General features: G+C 35.7%; 2 protein-coding genes across 14 annotated transcripts in view, besides 3 other annotated features; one reads left to right on the forward strand and one right to left on the reverse strand.

The window, feature by feature from the left end:
- ABCD2 (ATP binding cassette subfamily D member 2) overlaps window positions 1-5,042 on the reverse strand; it is an 88,779-nt gene extending 83,737 nt beyond the window's left edge. For 9 of the 10 annotated variants that reach the window (NR_182046.1, NR_182045.1, XM_017018992.3 and 6 more), the window contains exons 1-2: window positions 3,916-5,042; window positions 2,227-2,407 (exon numbers count right to left, since the gene is read on the reverse strand). Coding sequence is in view for 8 of the 10 variants with exons in the window: in XM_017018992.3 (XP_016874481.1) it covers window positions 2,227-2,407; window positions 3,916-4,854 (1,120 nt within the window). In the remaining 2 variants the exon portion in view is untranslated. The remainder of the gene's footprint in view (window positions 1-2,226; window positions 2,408-3,915) is intronic. The other variant, NM_001412791.1, reaches the window with a different exon arrangement.
- Window positions 4,444-4,523: an enhancer, noted in NCBI's record as "active region_6203". NCBI's record gives its function as "activates an Ori minimal core promoter by ATAC-STARR-seq in GM12878 lymphoblastoid cells {active_cell/tissue: GM12878}" and the evidence as "EXISTENCE:reporter gene assay evidence [ECO:0000049][PMID:35858748]".
- Window positions 4,834-5,353: an enhancer, noted in NCBI's record as "active region_6204". NCBI's record gives its function as "activates an Ori minimal core promoter by ATAC-STARR-seq in GM12878 lymphoblastoid cells {active_cell/tissue: GM12878}" and the evidence as "EXISTENCE:reporter gene assay evidence [ECO:0000049][PMID:35858748]".
- Window positions 6,583-6,662: an enhancer, noted in NCBI's record as "active region_6205". NCBI's record gives its function as "activates an Ori minimal core promoter by ATAC-STARR-seq in GM12878 lymphoblastoid cells {active_cell/tissue: GM12878}" and the evidence as "EXISTENCE:reporter gene assay evidence [ECO:0000049][PMID:35858748]".
- Window positions 11,422-24,214, forward strand: part of REDIC1 (regulator of DNA class I crossover intermediates 1) — a 282,118-nt gene continuing 269,325 nt past the window's right edge. For all 4 annotated transcript variants that reach the window (NR_135051.2, NM_001031748.4, XM_005268806.4 and 1 more), the window contains exon 1: window positions 11,422-11,598. Coding sequence is in view for 2 of the 4 variants with exons in the window: in NM_001031748.4 (NP_001026918.2) it covers window positions 11,576-11,598 (23 nt within the window). In the remaining 2 variants the exon portion in view is untranslated. The remainder of the gene's footprint in view (window positions 11,599-24,214) is intronic.

A 24,214-nucleotide genomic window follows, 5' to 3' on the forward strand; every position in this document is an offset into this window, starting at 1 on the left:
CTTTGTATGACAAATATATTTAGTAAATACATACATATACCTGCAAACATTACAGGCACAGATAGTAACCCTTGATATTACAGATTTTGAAGAACATTCTCAATTAATAGTCTGTCATATGAATTCATTTTTCTGTCTATGAAATTCTTACATTACTTTTCTCTATATAAAAATTTTCTTTTGAAAGAAGCTTTAAGAAATACTTTGTTTCACTTGCCTCAATGTGGTTATTATATTTCAATCTAAAATTTTAATGTTTCTTTAATTTAATATGGTATTTTCAGGATTTGTGGGATTTATTTTTAAATATATTATTACATCTTGTTAAATAAGCTTGTTAGATTCTTTGTATACATTGTTTACTTCTTACTGGTCTCTGTGGGGTTAATTTGTCACCATTTAATAGCTGCATTTTTGCTGTTCTATGTTGAATACTCCAGGGTTTTTTAATAACACCAGTGTGTCCAAGCACTGACTAACAAAACTACATCATAATCTTGTCTATAGAGTTGTCTCTAATATACATTATATATTAAACTTTTTAAATGAGTATCGTTATTTTAAGAAATGACTTTTTAAGTGAATATCTGATAATTTTGACTTTTTTTGGTAAAACTAATATTAACACCATAGATTTTAAAGTGTCACTCTCGCTAATACTCTTTTGAAAAAGTAATTTTATTTCATTATGAAAGGATTATGTCTAAAATACTATTACTAACAATACCTTTTTCAATATAAACTTTTTAAAATTAAATTCTTTTTAGTAAATTTTGAAACATAAAACCAGATAAAATTCAATTTTCTCAGTGGTCTACAAATAGTGTCTATTACACAGTTCATTTGTGAAGTATAATTGATATATGCATAACACTTGCCACAAAGAAAGGCTGACAAATACTAACTTACTGAAATGAACATATTTATGTTAAGAATAACTCAACTTTGACAAGTGTTTTTGTAAGGACTGGTTAAAACATTGAAGCACTGTTTCAAAACATTAAGGCATATTATAATTATTGTTTTTATTAGATCACTTCAAACAAATAACTATTCATCCTTAATTCTGTACAAAATAACTATAAAACAGTGCAGATTCTGTAACAATATTCTTAGTTTTCTAGGTAATAATTGTCACCTTTTATTTTCTAGGTAATAATTGTCACCATATATCAAGTATAACATGCTCTGTACTTCATAAACATTATTCAGTTAAATCCTCACAACAATTCTCTGAAGTAGCCTTTCTGGTTCTCATTTTACAAATGAGGAAACTAAGGTATAGAGAGTTTAATCAACTCTAATTAAACAGACTAAGAGGATACACGTAGGAAGAGGGGGAACCAAAAGTTGAACAAAACTCTGTTTCACTACAAAGCCTATGCTTCTGGCCAATTTTAGTCCAGTGATTTTTAAGGAGGGATGTCTTATTTTAGGAAAAGAGTAGAAAATACTTCTTCAGTTAATTCTTCTCTGTTCCAACCAATTAAGATCCAAGCTCCCATCCAAGGATGATACAACATTTTAACATTGTCTTTTCTTCCTTGCCCTTATCTTTCTTTGTTATTCCAAAGAATAAAAACTGTTATTAAAAACTGTTGAGACAGTGGTAGGATAGAATTAGCCAGCTGCAGCTTGACAACCACCATTCCTACAAAACCACCAAATCATGCTGCATAAGAGGTTATCTGTATTATTCACAAGCAGAGGAGCCCTTATTCCATGGCACTTAAGCATTCTCTGAAGCAATATTCCTGCTTGCCCATTGTAGTCAATGGACTTTTCAAATCGCAAAGCAGGGCAAATTCAGTTATAGAATATTTATAGACTAAATGTATGGGATGTATAGAACTAATGTTTATAACACATGAGGAATGCTTGTGTTATACTCTTTCTGAGGGTACTAACTTATTCTGAGGTTAAGTGTAAACTAAAGAATCATCCTATATTAGGCAATATAATTAAAATTGCTCAAGGTCAACTCCGAGAAACACTGCATCAGAGATCTCTGAAATAGCTCAGAACTGGGAACGTCTTTGAACCACTGTCTCCTTATTTCATACTGCTGGTCTTATCACTGGACGCTGTAAAGTCTGCCATTGTTTCGGACCATTGTTAACTAGAATATGACCATGTACACAGTTTAGCTCACATAAAACTAGCAATGACAACTTCAAAAGAAATAATGTTAAAAATATATTTGAGATTAAGCATAAATGTCATTACCACCATCTGCAAAGCCAGTTGCAGTGATAATAGGTATAGCCACCATAATTAGTCCACTGCTGCTCCAAACATACTTCATCAGGAACTGTTCTATCATGATGTACCACAAACGTTTGGATAAAATGAGGTTCATCTGATCTGCTAAAGCTTTGTAACTTTTCTGAAGTTGTTTCATTTCTACCTATAGAGAGGAAAAAGAGTTGAGGACTTTTTTTAAAGATATATACATATTATTCTTTTTTTTTTTTAGTATGGCATTATCTATGCATCTTAACCAATAAATGCAGATTAATACCAGTATTAGTTATTATTTAGTTTTGGTCACATGTGTATTATTTTTAAAAGTTTATGCTACTCAGTGGACATAATGTTAGGTATAAAATACATATAAGTAATTTATAGTTATGATATTTAAATTTTATGTATGAGATGTTAAAATTAAATGATATTATATGAGACATGAATAAACAATTATTAGAGCTTTGTCCTTGTTGATTACACCAAAAATATCTGAAAATGGACACATGACATATATATGTATAGACTCCACTTTTGAACTGACTCAATTTGTTGGATTTTGTCTTTTATGCAAGAAGTCTAAGCACACTATAATTTATATCATTGAATTCAATAGTTCAAGAAGAATCACAAATCAATATGATATAATACAATATATGAGGTCAATTTTCAAGTGGGAGTAGGATTCCTAAATTTACTTTAAATATTATTTTTCAGGTTGCTACTGCTATTAAAGACACTGATAATTACAGATGCTTTAAAAATTAAATAATTCTGCTTGGTGATTGACATGCCATCTTCAACAGTAGAATACTTTATTTTATTCACCAAGTCATTTAAATTAAGATTGCATTGCCTTCAAAATTTCTGTCATTTCATATTCTGAAGTTACCTTCATGCACTGTTAGTATGTATAATTGGGCTAATTGTTTTAGGGATCTGCTTAATGTTGAAAATCTTTAATAATTAAAAACATTCTGAAACTCCTTTTGTACTCCTCATTTCTTCTCTAATTTCAGCTTTTTTTTTTTTTCAAAGCTAGACAAAATTTCATTTCACTTCCTCTTTTCATTTTGTCAAAGTACAGTGCTGAACATGAACTAAGAGTAGTAGAAATGCCATTTTGTGAGACACTCTCCTACGCTTCTTGGGAATGGGGATGCTCCATATTGATCAGACATGCAAAATTGTTAAAAATGTCTTCTATAAGAAACCCTGGCTCTTCCCCCCTCTTGGACAACAAAGGAACAACAAAGAATATCATTCTAAATTTTCCATTTCAGTGGAAATATGTTTAGTCTTAGTTTCTAAATATATATTTTCTTCTGGTAGGTGCTTTAGGATGACCTACCAAGTTGGGATTTAAGTTTTAAGAAAATGCGTTAGAAATAATTCTGAGCATATTTGAGTAACTGAGGCTAAGTAGACTTTTTTAGAGTGTTGCAAATTTTATTCTTCTGAAACTTTAGAAAAGTTTGCACCCTATAATCCTTTAACTGGTTACAGTTAAAAGGGGTAATGAAGCATATATTTTAATTCAGGTTTAGATGTCAGAGGAATCTAAGACACTAAAGAAGTGGGTCCATCGACAGGACAACAGATGGTATCTGGCACTGCAGTGGCAACTTGAACAGTTTCACATTTCACCCATCACCTTAATTTCTATCTTACCTTATGTCCTCTGTAAAAGGCAATTTCTTCTACATTGGCTATAATTCTCGAGTGCACATACCGCAAATAGCCTTTTCTATGTGCTTCCTCTGCCACCAGTTTGCCAAATTTGGGAGAACAGGCTTTTAACACTTTAGCAGTGGCATACACCACAAGTCCTGCTAGTAGGGTGGGCCCAATTGGGCTTGCTCCTCTGGATGTAGCAGTTTGAATGAGTGTATAGGAGGTCAGCATTACATCTAAAATAGGTTTGGTCAGATTGGAATACAAGTGAGCCACAGATTGGGAGAACATCATAATATCCTCCGTAAGAGATTGGTCAGGGTTTGCCAGCCTCCCATCCATATTGATCACTTTATAATAAGTCTGATTTGTAAAATAGGTTTCATAGGCGTGGTCTACTAGGCGAGTTCTGAAGGCCAAAGCCAATTTGCATTCCAGGTACCTTATTGCACTGTTGACGAAGGTAGCAGGGATGGCAATCATAAGCCACTTGATTAATTTGATGATGAAAGTCCGAGGCTTCTTTTCCACAATGCTTTTCACGATTTTTCCATCCAGACCAGCCACATAGATAGAAAGAAAGGTTCTTGAGATTAGAGCCACTGAGTGCAGGCAGAGCCACCCTGTTTCAGTGGTCACAAGTTTTGGAAACAAAATTTTCCGAAGTTCTAGTAGCTGTTTGAAGAAATCTGCATTCACTCCAGGCGAAGGTTTTTCACAAATGGTCTCGGTGCAATGCAGTATTTCTGTGTTCTCTGCAGCAGGGTAAGCTGCTGCTTTTTTCTTCCCGTGGCCAGATTGCTTTAAACGCTTGCCAATGATGGGATAGAGGGTTTTCAGAGCATATGCCGCAGCCACCAGGCAGGCAGCCCTCTTAGCAGCACTCGATCTGGTCCATTTCACTCGATCAGCTGCTGCATTTAGCATATGTGTCATTTTCCCAGTTACCCAAACCGGCTTCCAAAAGAATTCGTTTTAAAAGATCATGCTTCACAGAAATCCCCAGCAAATGTTTTAGAAAGTCCTACAGCGTCCCATAGTCTGCAGCGTTTCTCTTCCACTGTTGTGTTTTTAATTTTGTTCTGCTGTGACAGATGCAGCAGAGCTCAGACTCCGCTGCATCTACCGGGAATGATTCTCTCAGAAGCTCAAGCTGCACCAAGCTCCTCCCTCCCAGGCCCCTCATTGGCTGTGAGGGCGGTGGGACCTTGGAATCCTCGCAGCTTCCCTTTGAACCTTGAAAATGAGGAGAGAGCAAAGCGAATTACATCCTTCCTTAAACAGGAGTTCAGAGAGTTAAAATGTCTATTTTTGGAGAGGTCGAATCAGGCCATCTGCTGGCGAACAAAACCGGCTCTAGCTACTGAGCATGCTCAGTGTCACTTAGAAACCCACAGAAGTTTCAGAATATACATCACTTCGGTAAGATTTCAGTAGATACCGCAAACAGAAGAGCAAGCAGAAAGGGAGATTTCCAAGCGAACAAAACCGGCCCTAGCTACTGAGCATGCTCAATGTCACTTAGAAACCCGCAGAAGTTTCAGAATATACATCACTTCGGTAAGATTTCAGCAGCTACCGCAAACAGAAGAGCAAGCAGAAAGGGAGATTTGCAAGAGTTTTAATGAGACGAGGAGGGAGAAGGAACCACGAAAATGAGGGAGGAGGGACAAGAGGATCAACATAAAATGAATATGAAAAGGATATGGAATGAATCTGAAACGGATCAGAAAAGAAAGTGACAAGTGGGAGGGACACCGGAGAATGCCAAATATCAAATACACTTGGATCTGTTTTTCACAGATCCCCCCGGCTTTTTTGGGGGTCTGATTTCACAAAAGGTCTCAGAACCTAATAGACAAGTTGTAATCGAGGGTTTCCCTTGTAAATAAATAGGATAAAAGTCTTCCGTGTTACAGAAAATAATTATTTGCTATGCCTCTAGCCATTCTCCCTTTTTCCTCTGCATCCTACTTGTCCTTATGCTAAAAATCTTCCAGCCCCATAACTGGAGATCTGATGTACTCATATTTATTTACAAGGTGACGACTATTAAATAAATGAGAGCAATGTTTCATGTTTACTACTCCCATGTGTTAGGTAGTTTTTACTTGGAGTGGGGTAGCACTTATAGTGAAAGTTTAACCATTTGGGAATTCAGCTGGTGTTGGATGGTGGAAATAGCTTCTCTAGGACCTTACTTCATTTTTCAAGAATGCTTTGTCTTTTGCAGGTTTCTGCTTTGTTTGTTTTGTTTAGCTGTAGAGATAATCTACTGGCTACTTCCTATTTCCATTTGGTTATTTGATAAAAACTAAGAGTCTTAAAATTCTTCACATCCATAATGGAGGATTTAAATTGTTCAACAGTCAAGGACAATTCTGCATATTTTTGAAAATGTAAAAAGCTTTTTTTTTTTTTTTTTTTTTTTTTTTTATGAGACAGAGTCTCTCTCTGTCACCCAGGCTGGAGTGCAGTGGCACGATCTCAGCTCACTGCAGCCTCCGCCTCCCAGGTTGGTGCCTCAGCAGCCCGAGTAGCTGGGATTACGAGGGTGCGCCTACCATACTTGGCTAATTTCTGTAGTTTTAGTAGAGATGGGTTTTGCCATGTTTGCCAGGCTGGTCTCAACCTCCTGGCCTCAAGTGATCCACCTGCCTTAGCCTCCCAAAGTGCTCGGATTATAGACGTGGGCCACCACGCCCAGCCAAGAGCATTTTTTAAGTCAGGGCTGAGTATATTTTTGGATATGGAAAAACCATTTTTTTTGCTCTTCACTGTCCCCGCCCCCCATCTCATTAAAATTCTCGGAAATCTCCCTTTCTGCTTGCTCTTCTGCTTGTGGTATCTACTGAAATCTTACAAAAGTGATATATATTCTGAAACTTCTGGGGATTTCTAAGTGACACTGAGTATGCTCAGTAGCTACAGCCAGTTTTGTTCACCAGCAGCTGGCCCCCAACATACATACACATTTCCAGTCAATTAAAAGCTTAGGAAAATATGCATCAAGCTAGAACAGAAGTTGGCAAATTACAACTGGTGGGCCAAATCTAGCCTGCCACTTAATTTTATATGACCCTTAAGCTAGGAATGATTTTTACATTTTTAAAGTGGTTGAAAATACTTCAAAACAAGAATATTTTGTCCTGTGAAAATTATATAAAATTCTCATTTTTGTGTTTATAAATAAAGTTTTATTGGAAAACAGTCACACCCATTCATTTACTCTCTGTCTATGGCTTCTTTCAAGCCACAGTGGTGGATGCAACAAAGACTAAAATATGTACTATTTGGCCCTTTATAGAAGTTTGCAAACCTCTGTGCTAGAATATAAAACCCATCTCAGCATTAAATGATCTTCATTACTGAGTTTATCACAAAGAACTATCCTCACTTTCATAAGTAACCATATTCTTAAAATTTTAAAACTTCTTTCTTATGTACTCATATTAATTCTGACAATCATCACATATCTCTTCATTTGTTTGCATTCAATTCAGCAGACTGACTGACACATGAGTGTCAAACTCATGCAAGTTTTTTTGATAGCTGGCCATATTAGTAGCATAATCCATCATCCCATTAAGACTTTTTAAGCCTGTATGTACAGATAATAGTGGTCATGGAAGTTATTGCCAAAATCTTTTATTCCTAAGCTCTTGCTTTTGTTGTATGCAAGATAAGGTTGCCTTTCATTTATGTCACATCTCCTAACAGCTACACACAAAAGGGTTAGCAGTGACAGGACAGGTTAAAGGCCAGAGTAAACCTAACTGGGGGTGATGGCAGGATGTTGTTAGGCAGAACATGGTACACAGAAGGATGCAGACAGCAGCTGGCAGTCGAGGCAAGTGGTTTGCAATACATACAACCAGAGACAGCCATATTAGGGGAGGAGCATGGCAGTGAGAACTCTAGAAGCAAAGGACACTAGAGATTCAAATAGGACTTAGCTGGAGGTAGGTCAGTTTACCAACTGATAATGAGGTTATAGTGCAGGAACAAGCTTTCAGCATCTGGAGTGAGAGACTTGTGAGAATGAAGAATTATTTATGAGGAAAATGATCAAGACAGAAATTTTGTTACCTGAATCGTGGTACAAGGAAGGTTGAAAGTGAGTTACTTGAAGTGTGGAAAATGTCAACGTGAAATTTGATTTGATATTGAGCCACTTAGGTGAAGACCTAACTCTAACCACTTAAATTTCACTCCCACCATTCACCTCTCCCTGCTCTCAAGGGTAAGAGTTGGTCCTAGTGTCTGAGACTAGACACAAGCCTTCAGATAAGGCAGAGGAAGGATTCAAGAAGACAGGAAGCCATATGGACAATTAGGTCAATAATATATGGCATTTAAGTAAAAAACTAAGAATGTCAAGGTACTTCTTTCAGTTTTTTCTTTTTCTTTTCTTTCTTTCTTTCTTTTTTTGAGGGGGATGGAGCCTCACTCTGTTGCCCAGGCTGGAGTGCAATGGCACAATCTAGGCTCACTGCCACCTCTGCCTCCCAGGTTCAAGTGATTCTCCTGCCTCAGTCTCTCAAGTAGCTGGGACTGCAGGTGCCCACCACCACGCCCAGCTAATTTTTGTATTTTTAGTAGAGATGAGGTTTTGCTACGTTGGTCAGGCTGGTCTCGAACTCCTGACCTCAGGTGATCCACCCCCGTCGGCCTCCCAAAGTGCTGGGATCACAGGCGTGAGCCACCGCGCCCGGCCTTCTTTCAGTTTTTTTCTATTGACAGTATGCAATTAAAGCTAAGAGACTGTTAATTTAGTTTGAATTCCAAACTAGGAAAGAGGAGAAAAAAATCTTTGTTACTGTAGTAAAAAACATACTTAGGCCTAATTTCCACACAAACGTCTCAACTTCAAGTGTGTTTATATGGGAGATTATTAAAATTTTCTTAAGAGGGGAGAAATCTTCTTAGAAAAGATCTTGAGAAACAATGAGAATAATTTTTAAAATCAATAATTCTCAAATCACTGTGCTCTCAAGTGTGATATTCTCATGTACCCTACCAATATCCATGAAAGAAATGAATTAAATGGAGTTTATATATATAGAATACAAATTAGAGACTATATATGTTTTATGAACTGTAAAACATCAGAAATTTTTTTGTAATAAAGAGAATTATATATATGTATATACATAAATGTATGTATAATGTATATTGTATATGTGTTGCATGTTCAGATTATGAATATCCAGAAAGTAAATAATTTTTAGAAATAGGTAAAGATAAATTGTTTAAGGTTTGAGAATTTCGAATGGATTTCCTTTTCAACAAATGCTTAATAGTATTTCATCTGTGCTGTATTGCTTTCTTGAACTGTTTCCTGACCCAAGAGATTACCTAATTGCTCTACTGGCCCTAAAATAGCACAGCATTGGACTCTCTTATTATCTATCAGTCATGCTAGTCTTACTCATGGAGGCATAAACAGCACTGAAAATGAGATTTTAGGTCAACATTTCAGCTATTACACATAACTACCTAATACCTAGTTCATAAGGAAATGTCTTTTTCTGTGAAGGAAAACCCAGTAAATATCTTGTCTGAACATGTATCTCATAGGTTAATCTTTCCTTAGCCTAATTCACTGCCTCCCTGTGACTGGAAGGAAAGAAGTGACTCTAGTAAGGGGGAAGAGATGGCCCATCCAGCTCTCAGTTCTTATTAAAATTTTTATGTATTTTTCTTTTTAATTTTAATGGGTATATAGTAGGTGAATATGTTTATGGGGTACATGAAATATTTTGATACAGGCATAAGATGTATAATAATCTTTCAAGGTAAATGAAGTATCCATCACTTCAGGCATTTATTATTTCTTTGTGTTATAAACATTCCAATTATTCTCTTTTGGTTAGTTTAAAATGTATAATAAATGTTAACTGTAATCATCCTGTTGTGCTATCAAAACTAGATGTTATTCATTCTATCTAAATATATTTTTCTACCCATTAACCATTCCCACTTCCCCATCCCCCACTGCCAGCCTCTGGTAACCATCACTCTAGTCTCTATCTCCGTTAGTTCAATTGTTTTAATTTTTGGCTCCCACAAATGGAGTGCCAGCTCTTAGTTCTTTACCCAACAACTTGGTCAACCTCTCCTTATGTCCCTTTACTCACAATAAAGAAAAAAAGAGTTAATCCCTTAGCAAATTATTTCCCCTTTCAGTTAATTTAGTCAATATGTTTTAAAATGTTGAAAGTAGGAAAGGCTGATACACAGGGCCATTGCTTCTTCCTTGCCTGTATGGTTTTGTTACTGAAAAAACAACTCCATGTCAAAGTCTGATATTCTCGGAAATGCTGAATTCACTTGGTCTAATTCAATTTTAGATACACCTTGGTGAATTTTGTCATAAAAAACAGGATTTTTGTGATTAAACAAGATATCTACCCTGGGACATAATCCTATTCTAAGTACTATTTTCCAATGACTTAACAAAAAATCGATTATTATATATCAAATTGTGAAATCTTCCCCAGGTTATGTTCTGGAAAAAAACATGGCAATTTAAAAAAATGTAATTTGTGCATGTATTTGGAAGAAGAGATGCCTAGTTTCTAACCAAAATAATATAGGACAGTTTGTAAGATAATTGTTTTGTAAGGATATACAAACTTAATACAGAAACAAATAGCATAATTCAATTTTTGTTTTGAGATTTTTTTTTCAGTAAGGATTTTAACATCTTTGGACTTTTACATCTAATTAAGTTTTGATCAAGCTCTTTTTTTTCCTTTCTTTCTTTTTTTTTTTTTTTTTAAGAGACAGAGTCTGCTCTGTCGCCCAGGCTGGAGTCTCTCGACTCACTGCAACCTCTGCCCTCCTGGGTTGAAGCAATTCTCCTGCCTCAGCCTCCTGAATAACTGGGGCTACAGGCGCGTCCCACCACGTCCCACTAATTTTTTGTATTTTTAGTAGAAACGGAGTTTCACCGTGTTAGCCAGGATGGTCTTGATCTGCTGACCTCGTGATCTGCCCACCTTGGCCTCCCAAAGTGCTGGGATTATAGGCGTGAGCCACTGCGCCCGGCCTGATTTAAGCTCTCTTAGCAACTCAATGCACAGAATGGTAACTTACTACAGCGCTATGTTTCTTATAAACACCTGTTTACGGAGTATTAAAACTGCACATGAAGGATATTTAAGGAATTTGGGTATGGGGTAATAAATGGGAAGGGAAACATCATTTTTAGGGTTAGCGATCCTTAACTGTGTCCTTGCCTTCTTTTTCTTTCTCAAGTCTGGTCTCTGACTCGAAAAAGACGTCAAAGACCTGTCAGAACTAGATAAAATTATGATGGAGGTGTTTTGAAACACTAATCCTGTGGCCCCTGTCAAAAATTTAGGCTTTCATTTATTTAGGCCTGCCTTGCCTCAGCGATTAAAACGATGTCAGCCAGGTCGGCTGCTTTGCCGCAGCGTCCCCTTGCGGCCCTATCAGGACCGGAAGGAACACGCAGAAGCCGCAGAGGCTGTTGGGAGGTTGGGCCTCAGGCGGTGGACCAGAAGGAGCTTACTCGGGCCCTGACGTTGTCAGGAGGCCCTGGGGGATCCTGCTGAAGCTGCGATTTGGCGCAGAGCTGAGATGTCTGAGCTCTAGACACAGGGACCTCAGTGTCAAAAGATTTGGGAAGATGAATTGGGTCGGGGGGTCCCGGTAAGTTGTGCAGCTGGAGTTTGAGGCTGGGACATTCATTCCTACGACTCCTCTTTCTAGTTCCTGGCGGAGAGGTCACAGCCTTAGCTGGAAAGAACTTGGTAGGAAAGGGTCTTTTTATTGTTATCCAAATCGGGTTGGAGACTCTAGAACCATATCTCTACTCCTCAGACAAAAGTAACTCAGCTTCTCCCCACTCACTGCCTTTACAAAGGCTTCACCTGTGGGGGCCACTGTGAGTAACCTTCCCTGCTGCCCCTCCTCCCCTTCTCCATGTCCTATGCTCTGTTACTGTAATGAGGCCTTTTAGCACCTGAGCCCTCCCCTACTGCCTTCTTTCCGTGTCTACACCTCTTTTAGGTTCTTCTGAGTTGATATATAGTCTTTGCATGAATTTGGAAATTGTGAAACAGCCCAGTCCCAGCTGCACTTAAATCAATGGCAGGGCACCAGTATCACCATAAATCCAAATTGTAGTTTGTATTTTAAGGGGAAGTAAAGTGAACCGTTTTTACTTGAATAACTTGAGCGAATTTGCCATTTATTTTGTATTTAGGATTGATCACATAAAGCGTGATAGATTGAAAATTTAGTGTTATATAACCTATTCATTGTTATTGACCTTAAAGTCCAGCTGGGTGGAAATCATGTGGGCCTGTAATTTCATTTGATCAAAATTCTTGATGAGAAGAATTGTTTTGATTGAAACAAGAAGCCATTACATGTAATTTTTTTGTCACAAGTAGACCCAGGACAGTAATTATATGTTAGATTATAATGCGTTTGAATTCTAAAGAATTTATCGGAGGAAAGACAGCTTTTGTATTCACTAAGTATTGTAGCTATGCCTGATAATTTTAGCATGCACTTTTATCCTGTTGAATATGCTAGCATTGTATTTTAGAAATTTACCTGAATTACTTCTGGCTAGTGTTCTGGCAGCAGACGTACTCTGGAGAAAAGTGAAAATTTACTTACAGGCTTCAACAGGATTTAGTTGATACATGCTTATAATGTGATCTTTTTGAATTTAGTATTCTTTAAAATATTAAATAGGATTATATGAAATAATTTTACAAATGCTTAGCACTATTAAAATGTAGATGTTGCTATTATTCTGTCATATATCACAAACTTTTATGGCTATTTTGGGAGTAATATTTTAGTTGCTACTGGGAGGATGCAAAAACAATATACTGCAGGAAACATGTAACCTAGGATTGTGTTTCTGAAAATGAGGTGTACTGCAGCACCTGGAGGTGCAGCATCTGGAGATATTAGGTACCAGGGGGTTTAAGAAACATGGTTACATCTCCCCGAAGGATCAGTTTTAATCAGAGATTAGGAGAAAATATGTGTTTAAATTTATACAAACGTCGAAGTCAAAATAAAATGTAGAGACAAATCTCTAAATTTAACGTTTTATTTGGAAATGGCAGAATTGCAATTCAGGGCATACACAAAGTATGTCTTTGGTATGTCTGAAGAACAAAGAAAAGGGTGGGGATTTTACAAAAAAAGAGAAATGTTACATATGGTTTTGAAAGAAAGTTCATTGACAGTAGTGAAGTTGTGAGAAGCTGGCAAGCTTTGACTGGTGGGTGATGGTGGTAGTTAAAATGACCTCCTGGAAGGTCATTTTAGTAGTTATTTGGTATAACTGGTCCTAGGCAGTTTCAGAAGCTTGGCTTGCAGAGAATCATGTTTTTGGAGCAATGCTATGTGCCCTGTGTGCTTTTGCCTCCTGACATCTCAACTCTGATGTGGTTGGACATCACAAGAATGACTCAATTTGTGTGATCAACTTTCACACAAACATGGTTGCATTGTAGAGTGAAATGAAAAACTCTTGTGAAATGTTCAGATACACTGCAATTTTAAATAAATTTTATGTGGCGGGATAGGCTTCTTAGGGTAAAGCCCCAGATTGGTAATAAAAAAAAATGGGTGTCTCCATTTTCTATTTTCAGAACAGGCAAGGGTACACAAGATTAGTTGATCTTGGCACTCATAGTGTCCTAAAGGGCCTCAGTCTGAACTAGTGCTTTTAGTAACTAGTGGCAGCTGATGGAGCTAATAGAATAGAAATTTTAATCTTTATCCCAAACCATGCTGGAGTTCTTTTTACCCCCCTCCATTGTTAGGGATGTTTTTGGCTGAACATTTTAAGAAGAACTGTTAGGAACTTAAAATATAGACAAGTGAAGTGATTGGAGAACAATTCCTTCAGAACAATTCCAGAGCCTTCAACAGAAAGTAATTCAGCAAATATATTTTTTACCTGACTACCTGTTTAGGGAATTGGTAAGCTGTACAGGGGGATTCAGAAAAGAAAAATACATCTAGTCCACAAAAAGAACCTAGGAGAGAAAGTAGAGATTAAAATTAGGCAAATCACTATAATAATAGATATTTAAATAGGACTTAATATTGTCACAAGCACTGTTCTAAGTGCTTATTCATTTGCTCTTGAAAATGCTATGATTTATATACAAATATTATTCCCATTTTACTGATGGGGAAACTGAAGCATAGTTCATTAATGTTAAGTGACTTGACTAGAGGCACCCAGCTAGTAAATGGCAGAGTTAGGATTTGAGTTGAGTGTGCTTGCCCTCCATCCTATGCTGTATAGAAAGATGAGTGCCACAAATAAAGTAAATAAAAGTACCACAAAAAAGGGCTGTGGAAATTCAGAGAAATGAGAAACAGGAAGTTACACTAAGCCTTGAAGGACAGAAATAGTGCACAGAGCAAGCACCAAAGGGAAACAATCGAACACTGGTTCTTAAAAGTTAAAATGGAGGTGAAATAAATAATTGATCAAATTGGAGATCTAGGTTTCAGCAAGGCTTCTTAGGAAAGAGAAAGATGAGTTGGAAGGGAAGGTATTAAGGAACTTGAAAAATGTTAGTTTGCGATACTAGGTGAGTCTGCATTAAGACACTTAAACAGTTAATAAAGGGCTCTCTATATACTTTTTCTCAAGTGAATGAATGAAGCAAATTTATGTTTTAGTAATAGCAACCAGATTGCATACACTAATTTGAAGTAGATTGTTCTTGTATATTATAGAAACCTGATATAGTGAGTTTAATTGCAGAATCATTTGATAGCAATATCTTTACAGTTTTATAGTTGCAAAGATCTTTACAGCTTTTCTTATATAAACCAAACTGGGCATTTGACCCTTTGCTGCTCTTCAATTTAGGGACTTTACCAGTCATATATAAAATGTCTTTTTGTAAAGGAAAGAGCCAGTGATTAGAAATAAGCTTCCCTTATTTTCCTTTTTTAGTTGCTTACTTAGTTTGGCTTTACTGTTTTGGTTTTGGCCATCTTTGCAAGATATCATAACAGTGCATTTCAAACCAGGGTCTCACTGAGGGCAAAGAGATTGATCTAAGAAATTAATTTACATGTATATGATAGTAGTTCCCAAACTACTGTCTCTTTGAGACTTGCTAATCAATGATAATAGCAGGTTTTTCAATTTAATGGACTTTTTTCTTTTTTTCTGAAGTTATATCCTTGTTAAATTTTTTGATACTAAAATGCCCCCTTCTATTTTTAATCCTTTTTTGACAAAATTAAAATATCAATCTATTGTCAGTCCCACCAGTTAAAAATTTTTTTTTACTTATCTGGGACTTAGTGACCTACACCTCTCACATTGGTTTCATATTTGCTGGAAGGCACCACGGAGACCCTGTATTTTTCTAATCAGGTTGAAGTGCAGATTTGAGAGACAACATATGTAAGCATTGATTTGTTTTTAATTTTGAAAAGATTCTTTTATTTTCTTGTTTATTAATGACTAGTTTCACCAAATTCATACTTACCTCAGATATGAAGGTGGTAGTAAGAAAGGAGGAACATATAACCAGACTTTGGTCTGCAAAATGCTATTCAGAATCAGATCGGCTATAGATCTATAAATATACCACTATACATGCAGTATAAGATTTTTTTAAATTAGGGAGGTTTATTTTTATAATTCAGATTGGGGAATCAATCAATGTCATAAGAAAGGCCTAGGCAAAGTTCTGTTGGAATTTAGGTGAGGGAGAGGTTACCATTTGTAAATGTAGGCCTAGACCTAGTTCATCTAAGCAAGATATTATTGAGTGCTATGTACCAAGCACTGTGCCAGGTGTAAGTACAAAGTAACTGAAATTTAGTCTTTTTCTATAAGGTTGTAGTGTATTGGGGAAGAAAAGTATGACTTGCCATTAAGTTAGAAAATATTTAATGTCAGAGGCCAAAATAGGATATAAAAAATAAATAATGTGAACCATAGTAGAACATAGGATAGGTTTAGCTGAGAGTTTGGCTACTCAGAGGCAAGGACAAAAGAAGGTTCGATGGAGAAAAACAAAACAGAAAAGCATTACCTAAATAGTTGGAGATAATGTCTGCATATGTCTGCTTGATGGTGAGTTTGTAAGCTAGACAAAGAAGTTGAAAATTTATTCTTCGTCTGTTAAATGTGGGTAATACTTAAACGTACAGTGAACATCATCCTAGTTTGCCTGAAACGGTCAAGGTTTATGCCTGTGGTCCTAGTAGCATGCCCAGTTTAGCATTTGTCTCAGTGTTTGTTTTTTAACTAAATATAAACTACCATTAATAGTTCTGTTAAAATGAGCCTCCTCAGTAGCTGCGATTACAGGAACCTGCCACTATGCCCAGCTAATTTTTTGTATTTTTAGTAGAGATGGGGTTTTGCCATATTGGCCAGGCTGGTCTCAAACTCCTGACCTCAAGTGATCCCCCCACCTCGGCCTCCCAAAGTGCTGGGATTACAGGCGCGAGCCACTGTGCCCGGCCTATTGAACATTTTTATAAGCAGGTACTCTACATTTTGATGGCATTTTGTTCAAAAACAGTTGGAAATTTTTATTTAAAACATTCCATGAATGGCCTGATCAAAAATTCAACTTTTGAAGCTCTTAGTAAATTATAATTATTGAATATAAGGCTTTTAAAATTTAATTCTGCACAAGATTTAATTTTGAAAATATATTTTTGATATTCAGATATATTGGAATATTGTGACTAGTACAAAGGTTTTGATGGAGTGCCTACTTTTAATTGGTTATTTTTTTTTTGTAGAAGAACAGAATGCAATTGAAGGAGCCTACAGTTTTGTAGCATCTAAATTTAGATAAATATTTAAAAGAATCAAATATTGCTGCTTATTTGTCAAGTTTTATCTTGTAAAAAATAAGGTATAAATGGAATGACAAAGAGTACTTGTGAAAATATTTGGGCTAAATACTTATATACAAACAAAAATTGGATAGTATCTTCCATTTGGAAAAATTTGTTCTGAGCTTACCAGGTACTTCATTATCTGTAGAGAAAGTATTTTCTCAGTTAATGTGAATTATGCAGAGTGTTGATTAAAAGTTCAACAGTTTTAAATTTGTTAACGAAATGCAATTTTAAACATTGCAGGCAATTTTATGAAGAGAATTTAAATATAAGGAATCAATACTGAAAAATTGCTTTCTTCTGAAAACTATGAGTAACACATTGTTAGAGACATATGCAGTTTAAGTAATTGATGATAGCACATGTATACAATAAATATTTCTGCTTATACTTTTTGTTTAACCTTCTGATAACTGATATAAAGAACTGTTTTTGCTTTAATGTTCCCATATTTACATATATATGTGTAAATTTGTATATATATATATATAATGTTAACTTGAGAAATAAGTTTATTTATTTTTATTTTTTATTTTTTGAGATGGAATCTCTCTCTGTTGCCCAGGCTGGAGTGCACTGGTGCCATCTCGGCTCACTGCAACTTCCAACTCCCAGGTTCAAGTGATTCTCCTGCCTCAGCCTTCCGAGTAGCTGGGATTACAGGTACCCGACCACCACGCCTGGCTAATTTTTGTATTTTTAGTAGAGACAGGGTTTCACCATATTGGCCAGGCTGGTCTTGAACTCCTGACCTCAGGTGATCCTCCCACCTCGGCCTCCCAAAGTGCTGGGATTATAGGCATGAGCCACTGCACCCAGCCAGAAATAAGTTTATTTTTGAAAATGGTTTTTGTATAAAATATTTTAGAGATTGACAACGTAGTAAAACCAATATTTTTGTCCACAAATAACATTTTAAATGTGTATATATTTATATACACATATATGTATATATGTATGTATGCATGCATGTATATATACATTCACATTTGTACATACATATACAGTCACATGTTGCTTAGTGGCAGGGTTACATTCTGAGAAATATACCATTAGACAATTTTGTTATTGTGTAAACATCATAGACTGTGCTTACAGAAACCTAGGGGGTCTAGTCTACTACACACCTATGCTATATGGTATAGTCTTTTGCTTCTAAGCTACAAACCTATACAGCATGTTACTGTACTGAATATTGTAGGTAATTATAACACAATAGTAAGTATTTATGTATCTAAACATATCTTAATATAGAAAAGATGCAGTAAAAATACCATATAAAACATGAATGGAGCCTGCAGTACTGAAGTTGACCTGGGTGAGTCAGTGAGTGAATGGTGAGTGAATGTGAAGCATTAGGACATTACTGTATACTACTGTAGACTTTATAAACACTATACACTTAGGCTACACTAAATTTATGTTTAAAGATGTTTTTCTTTCTTTAGTAATAAATTAACCTTAAGCTACTGGAACATTTTTTACTTTATAAACTTTCTTTTAAATTTTATTATTATTATATTTTAAATTTTAGGGTACATGTACACAACGTGCAGGTTTGTTACAAATTCTTTTTAACTTTTTGACTGTTTCATAATAACACTTTGCTTAAAACACATTGAACAGCTGTACAAGACTATATCCTTAGTCTAAGTTTTTTCTATTTTTAATTTATTAAAATTTTTCAAACGTTTTTATTAAAAATGAAAACACAAATACACATATTAATCTAGGCTCACATGGTTAGGGATCATCAATCTCATTGTCTTCACCTCTACATCTTGTTCCACAGGAAGGTCTTCAGGGCAATAACATGCATGGAGCTACCATCTCCTATGATAACAATGCCTTCTTCTGGAACACCTTCTGAAGGGCCTGCCTGAGGCTGTTCTAAAATTAACTATTTTTTTTTAATAAGCAGAAGGACTATGTGCTAAAATAAGTATAGTAATAATAAATACATAAACCAGTAACACAGTCTTTTATCATCATTATCAAGTATTATGGGCTATAGATAATTGTATGTGCTATACTTTTATACCACTTACAGTGAAGTAGGTTTATTTATACCAGGATCACCACAACATGTTAGTAATGTTTGCTACCATGTTACGACAACTAGGCAATCACTAGATGATAGGAAGGTTTCAGCATCATTATACTGTTATGGGACCACTGTTGTATAAGTGGTCTGTCCTTGACGGAACCATCGTTACGCAGTGTGTGATTTTTTTACTCCTTGAAACTTAACTGTAAGCGTTATAATAGTCTCAGTTCATTATCTACCCTTTTTCTTCTTGTCAGCAATTACATTTTAAAAGATTTATATTAAAAAGTTTGTTTTTTTGGTTCCATTTGAACTTTAAAGTAGTTTTTTCCAACTCTGTAAAGAAAGTCGGCGGTAGCTTGAGGGGGATAGCACTGAATGTATAAATTACTTTGGGCAGTATGACCATTTTCACATTATTGATTCTTCCTATCCAGGAGCTTGGAAGGTTCTTCCATTTGTTTGTGTCCTCTTTTATTTCGTTGAGCAGTGGTTTGTAGTTCTCCTTGAAGAGGTCCTTCACATCCCTTGTAAGTTGGATTCCTAGGTATTTTATTCTCTTTTTAGTAATTGTGAATGGGAGTTCACTCATGATTTGGCTCTCTGTTTGTCTATTATTGGTGTATAGGAATGCTTGTGATTTTTGCACATTGATTTTGTATCCTGAGACTTTGCTGAAGTTGCTTATCAGCTTAAGGAGATTTTGGGCTGAGACGATTGGGTTTTCAGCTGGAGGCATCACGCTGCCTGACCTCAAACTATACTACAAGGCTACAGTAACCAAAACAGCATAGTACTGGTACCAAAACAGATATATAGACCAATGGAACAGAACAGAAGCCTCAGAAATAACACCACACACATCTACAACCATCTGATCTTTGACAAACCTGACAAAAACAAGCAATGGGGAAAGGATTCCCTATTTAATAAATGGTGCTGGGAAAACTGGCTAGCCATATGTAGAAAGCTGAAACTGGATCCTTTCCTTACACTGTATACTAATATTAACTCAAGGTGGATTAAAGAATTAAATGTAAGACCTAACACCATAAAAACTCTAGAAGAACCTAGGCAATACCATTCAGGACATAGGCATGGGCAAAGACTTCATGACTAAAACACCAAAAGCAATGGCAACAAAAGCCAAAATAGACAAATGGGATCTAATTAAACTAAAGAGCTTCTGCACAGCAAAAGAAACTGTCAGCAGTGTAAAACAGGCAACCTACAGAATGGGAAAAAATTTTTGCTATCTACCCGTCAGACAAAGGGCTAATATCCAGAATCTACAAAGAACTTAAACAAATTTACAAGAAAAAAAAACAACCCCATCAAAAAGTGGGCAAAGGATATGAACAGACACTTCTAAAAGAAGACGTTTATGCACCCAACAGACACAACAGACATATGCAAAAATGCTTATCATTACTGGTCATCAGAGAAATGCAAATCAAAACCACAATGGGATACCATCTCATGCCAGTTAGAATGGTGATCATTAAAAAGTCAGGAGACAACAGAGTCTGGGGAGGATGTGGAGAAATAGGAACACTTTTACACTGTTGGTGGGAGTGTAAATTAGTTCAACCATTGTGGAAGACAGTGTGGCGATTCCTCAAGGATCTAGAACTAGAAATACCATTTGACCCAGCAATCCCATTACTGGGCATATACCCAAAGGATTATAAATCATTCTATGATAAAGACACATGCACACGTATGTTTATTGTGGCACTATTCACAATAGCAAAGACTTGGAACCAACCCAAATGTCCATCAATGGTAGACTGAATTAAGAAAATGTGGCACATATACACCATGGAATACTATGCAGCCATAGAAAAGGATGAATTTATGTCCTTTGCGGGGACCTGGATGAAGCTGGAAACCATCATTCTCAGCAAACTATCACAAGGACAGAAAACCAAACACCACATGTTCTCATTCATAGGTGGGAGTTGAACAATGAGAACACATGGACAAAGGATAGGGAACATCACACACTGGGGCCTGTTGGTGGGCGGGGGGCTGGGGGAGGGATAGCATTAGGAGAAATACCTAATGTAAATGATGAGTTGATGGGTGCAGGAAACCAACATGGCACGTGTATAGCTACGTAACAAACCTGCATGTTGTGCATATGTACCCTAGAACTTAAAGTATTAAAAAAAGAAGTTTGTTTTAGGGATGTAGAGGTTTTATGGTATTTATAATATTGCTTATTAAAATTCAAATCCATGTCTAGCTACCTGTAAGACTATCAGGAATGTTTGTGTGGAAATCTTACGAAGTTTGTACCTATAAAATTAGTTGCCAAATTGCATCTAAAAACCAGTTTAGTTATTTTGATGAAAATATGTTAAATGTTTCAAGACTATTTGTAAATTTTAGAGATAGTACTAATGGAACTATGAGTATATTCATTTTTTTTCTTCTTGAACTAGTGATAATGCAAATAGCTTGAAATATACTTATGTGTTGGAGTGTCATTTGCATTCTGAAATATCTTCCACTGTGTGACTCGGGAAATGGCTGTTCGTGTTTATGATTACAGCTTGTAGCTGTGGAACAGTGTTTTCTGTGTGAAAATACTGCAAGAATTCGGTCTCCGAGAACTTATTTTAATTAGGCTCTGTATTCTAAATATTAGATGAATTTTTGCTTTATTGGTTTAACGTTTTTTTCCTTAATACCTTTTTTTGGTAATTCATACTTATGTGAAAACTTTTTCTTTTGCATTATAAGGGAAGTTACTTAAAAGCCATAACATTCTAACATATATCATTACTATTCCTAACACATCAGGTCGACCTGCTTTAGTTTTGTGGAAAGCCAATGTAAGTACTTTTTCTAGGCTAGTTACTGTCTTGAATGTTAATAAGTCTACCAGCTAACAATGTTAGATTTTCATGTTTTAAATTAATATTAATTTCAGTGTCACGAAACCATAAAATACTGTTTTTCATTTGCTAATTATTGGGCTATTAATTTTCTTTAAATTTTCCACTTTTCATCAAATTTAAGATATTATTATAAGAGCTTAACAGTCTGGAGCAGTTTCTTTTGCATGACACAATGCCCCTAAGAAAACAAACTGATGAAGAAACTAAAAAGCAAAATAAAACAAAAGAAGCAAAAAAGAACAAGTTAATACTGACAGTATATGGTGTTTATATGACACTCATAGTTTTTAATTCCTAATACAGTTTCAATATCTCTTGCATACTCCATGTAAAATGTACATGTTAGTGTTTTTTTAAACATTTCTTTGGTAACTTTATTGCATTTGTGTCTTTTTAATTTTTTTAAAAAAGAAAGTATTTCTTTAGCATTTTCCTTTAAACCTTTCCTTACTAGAAGTAATAGCAAGGAGCAGAAATGCCCTGATGCGTTTCTGTAATTAGCATGGTTGTTTTTCCCTCTCCCTCTACTCCTTTTTTTCTCCTTTCTCTCCTTTCTCTTCCCTTCTCCCTCCCTTCTCTCCTTTAACCCCTTTATACTTTTTTGTTTTTAATTTTTTTCTTTCTTAGCAAAGAATAAAGTAACAAATATTTATATTACTACTATCTAGAATAGATAACTTGTGGAGGATTCTATGAAGAGGTTATGACCTACCAATTTTCTTTTAAGTACAAAATGATTTTGAATCAATACCTATTATAATGACAACTAATATTGTTCATTCAAACTTTCATTGAAAGAGATGATTGTACATATTTCTTTAAAAATTCATTTTCCAGAATAACGTAGTAATTACTGTTTAAAAAAGATGAACCTCATTCCCACTTTCTAGCTCACTCCCAATCCTCTAGTAATTTAAGTTTCAAGACAAAAATTAGAGAAACACATATTTTAGTTTGGTTGAGTGTTGTAGTACATAAGTCGAAGAATGTAAAACAACGTTGAAAGCTAAGTAGGTGCATGCTATGGAAGTCATATCCCTAAATGATAATTAGAGCTGTGTTTTAAAGCAATTACTTATGTAGTAAAATATATTGGAGAACATTTGCATAAAATCAAAGAGACCATTTACAATGTAATTATGACAGTTGACTACATACATAATACTGCAGTAGTCAGTGTGGAATGCTTTTAGCAATGACTACTAGGGATTCATTGGCAAGTCCTTTTAATTATAATTTATTTTTGTCATATATAAAGTTCTGGTTAGTTTCCCCTACTACTTAGGGAATATAGTCTCTTATTACGGTTGTCTTATTTTTATATTAGCCTAAGCAAACCACAAGAAGCAACTATTAAGGAGTACATATATCCTGACATAGCCAAATAAAAATGACCTTTGGATCATTACCTATTTTCATTTTATTGTAGCAGTGTAGTAGACATTTGTGTTCTTTGGCATACCAGTATCTGAGGCCCCTGTTTATGTGTGGTGTATCTGTCTACCACCTTAGGAGTTTTGGTGTTAGGTACAGGCTGCCTTCCTCTATAGAAGCCGAAAAAACAAACAAACAAACAACAACAACAAAAAACAAATAAACAAGCCTGGAGACTTGTTTCCCAGTCTGTTTTGCAGCTAGTGATACATGATCTAAGCTCAATTTTGGTGTTCTTGCCTTGTACATTGAATCAGGAGTTAGTGACCCAAGAAAACAGGGACTGCAGTGCATCTGTTTTTGTAGTAGGCAGTTGCAGGAGCTGCAGCAGGATTGAATTTTCAGGGACAGAGATGCCAGGGGAAGTGCTGTCCAGGAGTGGAAATGGTATAGTCAGCAGTATCCAGTATTCACCAGTGCCAGCAGTGGTATCCTTATGAGAATAATTGTTGCATGATTTTGGCCATATTCCCAAAACTGCCTAGACTTCCTTGTTCTTGCCATTTGACAAGCATGCCTTCTCAGCAGATCTGTTTGGCTATCCATTTTTCTTTTAATAAATTTATTTTCTGTTTGAATCAGCCAAATATACTTTCTATTGCTTATAAGAATTCTGACTGATGCACTCTTCTTCTTTAGTGCAAATAATTGAGAGTGACTATATTCGGGACAATATTTAGTTTATGTGGACATATCATTCTATTAATAACAGTGATAGCCTTAATAATAATCTAAAATGTTCTGTTTAAGAAATGACCTTTGACATATATGTCAGAATCCTTTTTCATTTTCACCGCAGTCTAGTGATTGCTAGGCTGATGTCGATATTGGTCTTAAATACCTAATTAATTTTTTTCTTAGGCACATAGGGATGGGCATTAAGTAGTATGTAGAATTTGGTGATAGCCATGAATGTCCTGGATAAGAGAAAATCAGCCTGGAATAAAATCACACAATGCATACATATATGAAGACTATATTTACTTTGATTTCTTAATTTTACTGAGCTCTA

Source organism: Homo sapiens, chromosome 12, assembly GCF_000001405.40.
Source record: "Homo sapiens chromosome 12, GRCh38.p14 Primary Assembly".
Taxonomy (NCBI): domain Eukaryota; kingdom Metazoa; phylum Chordata; class Mammalia; order Primates; family Hominidae; genus Homo; species Homo sapiens.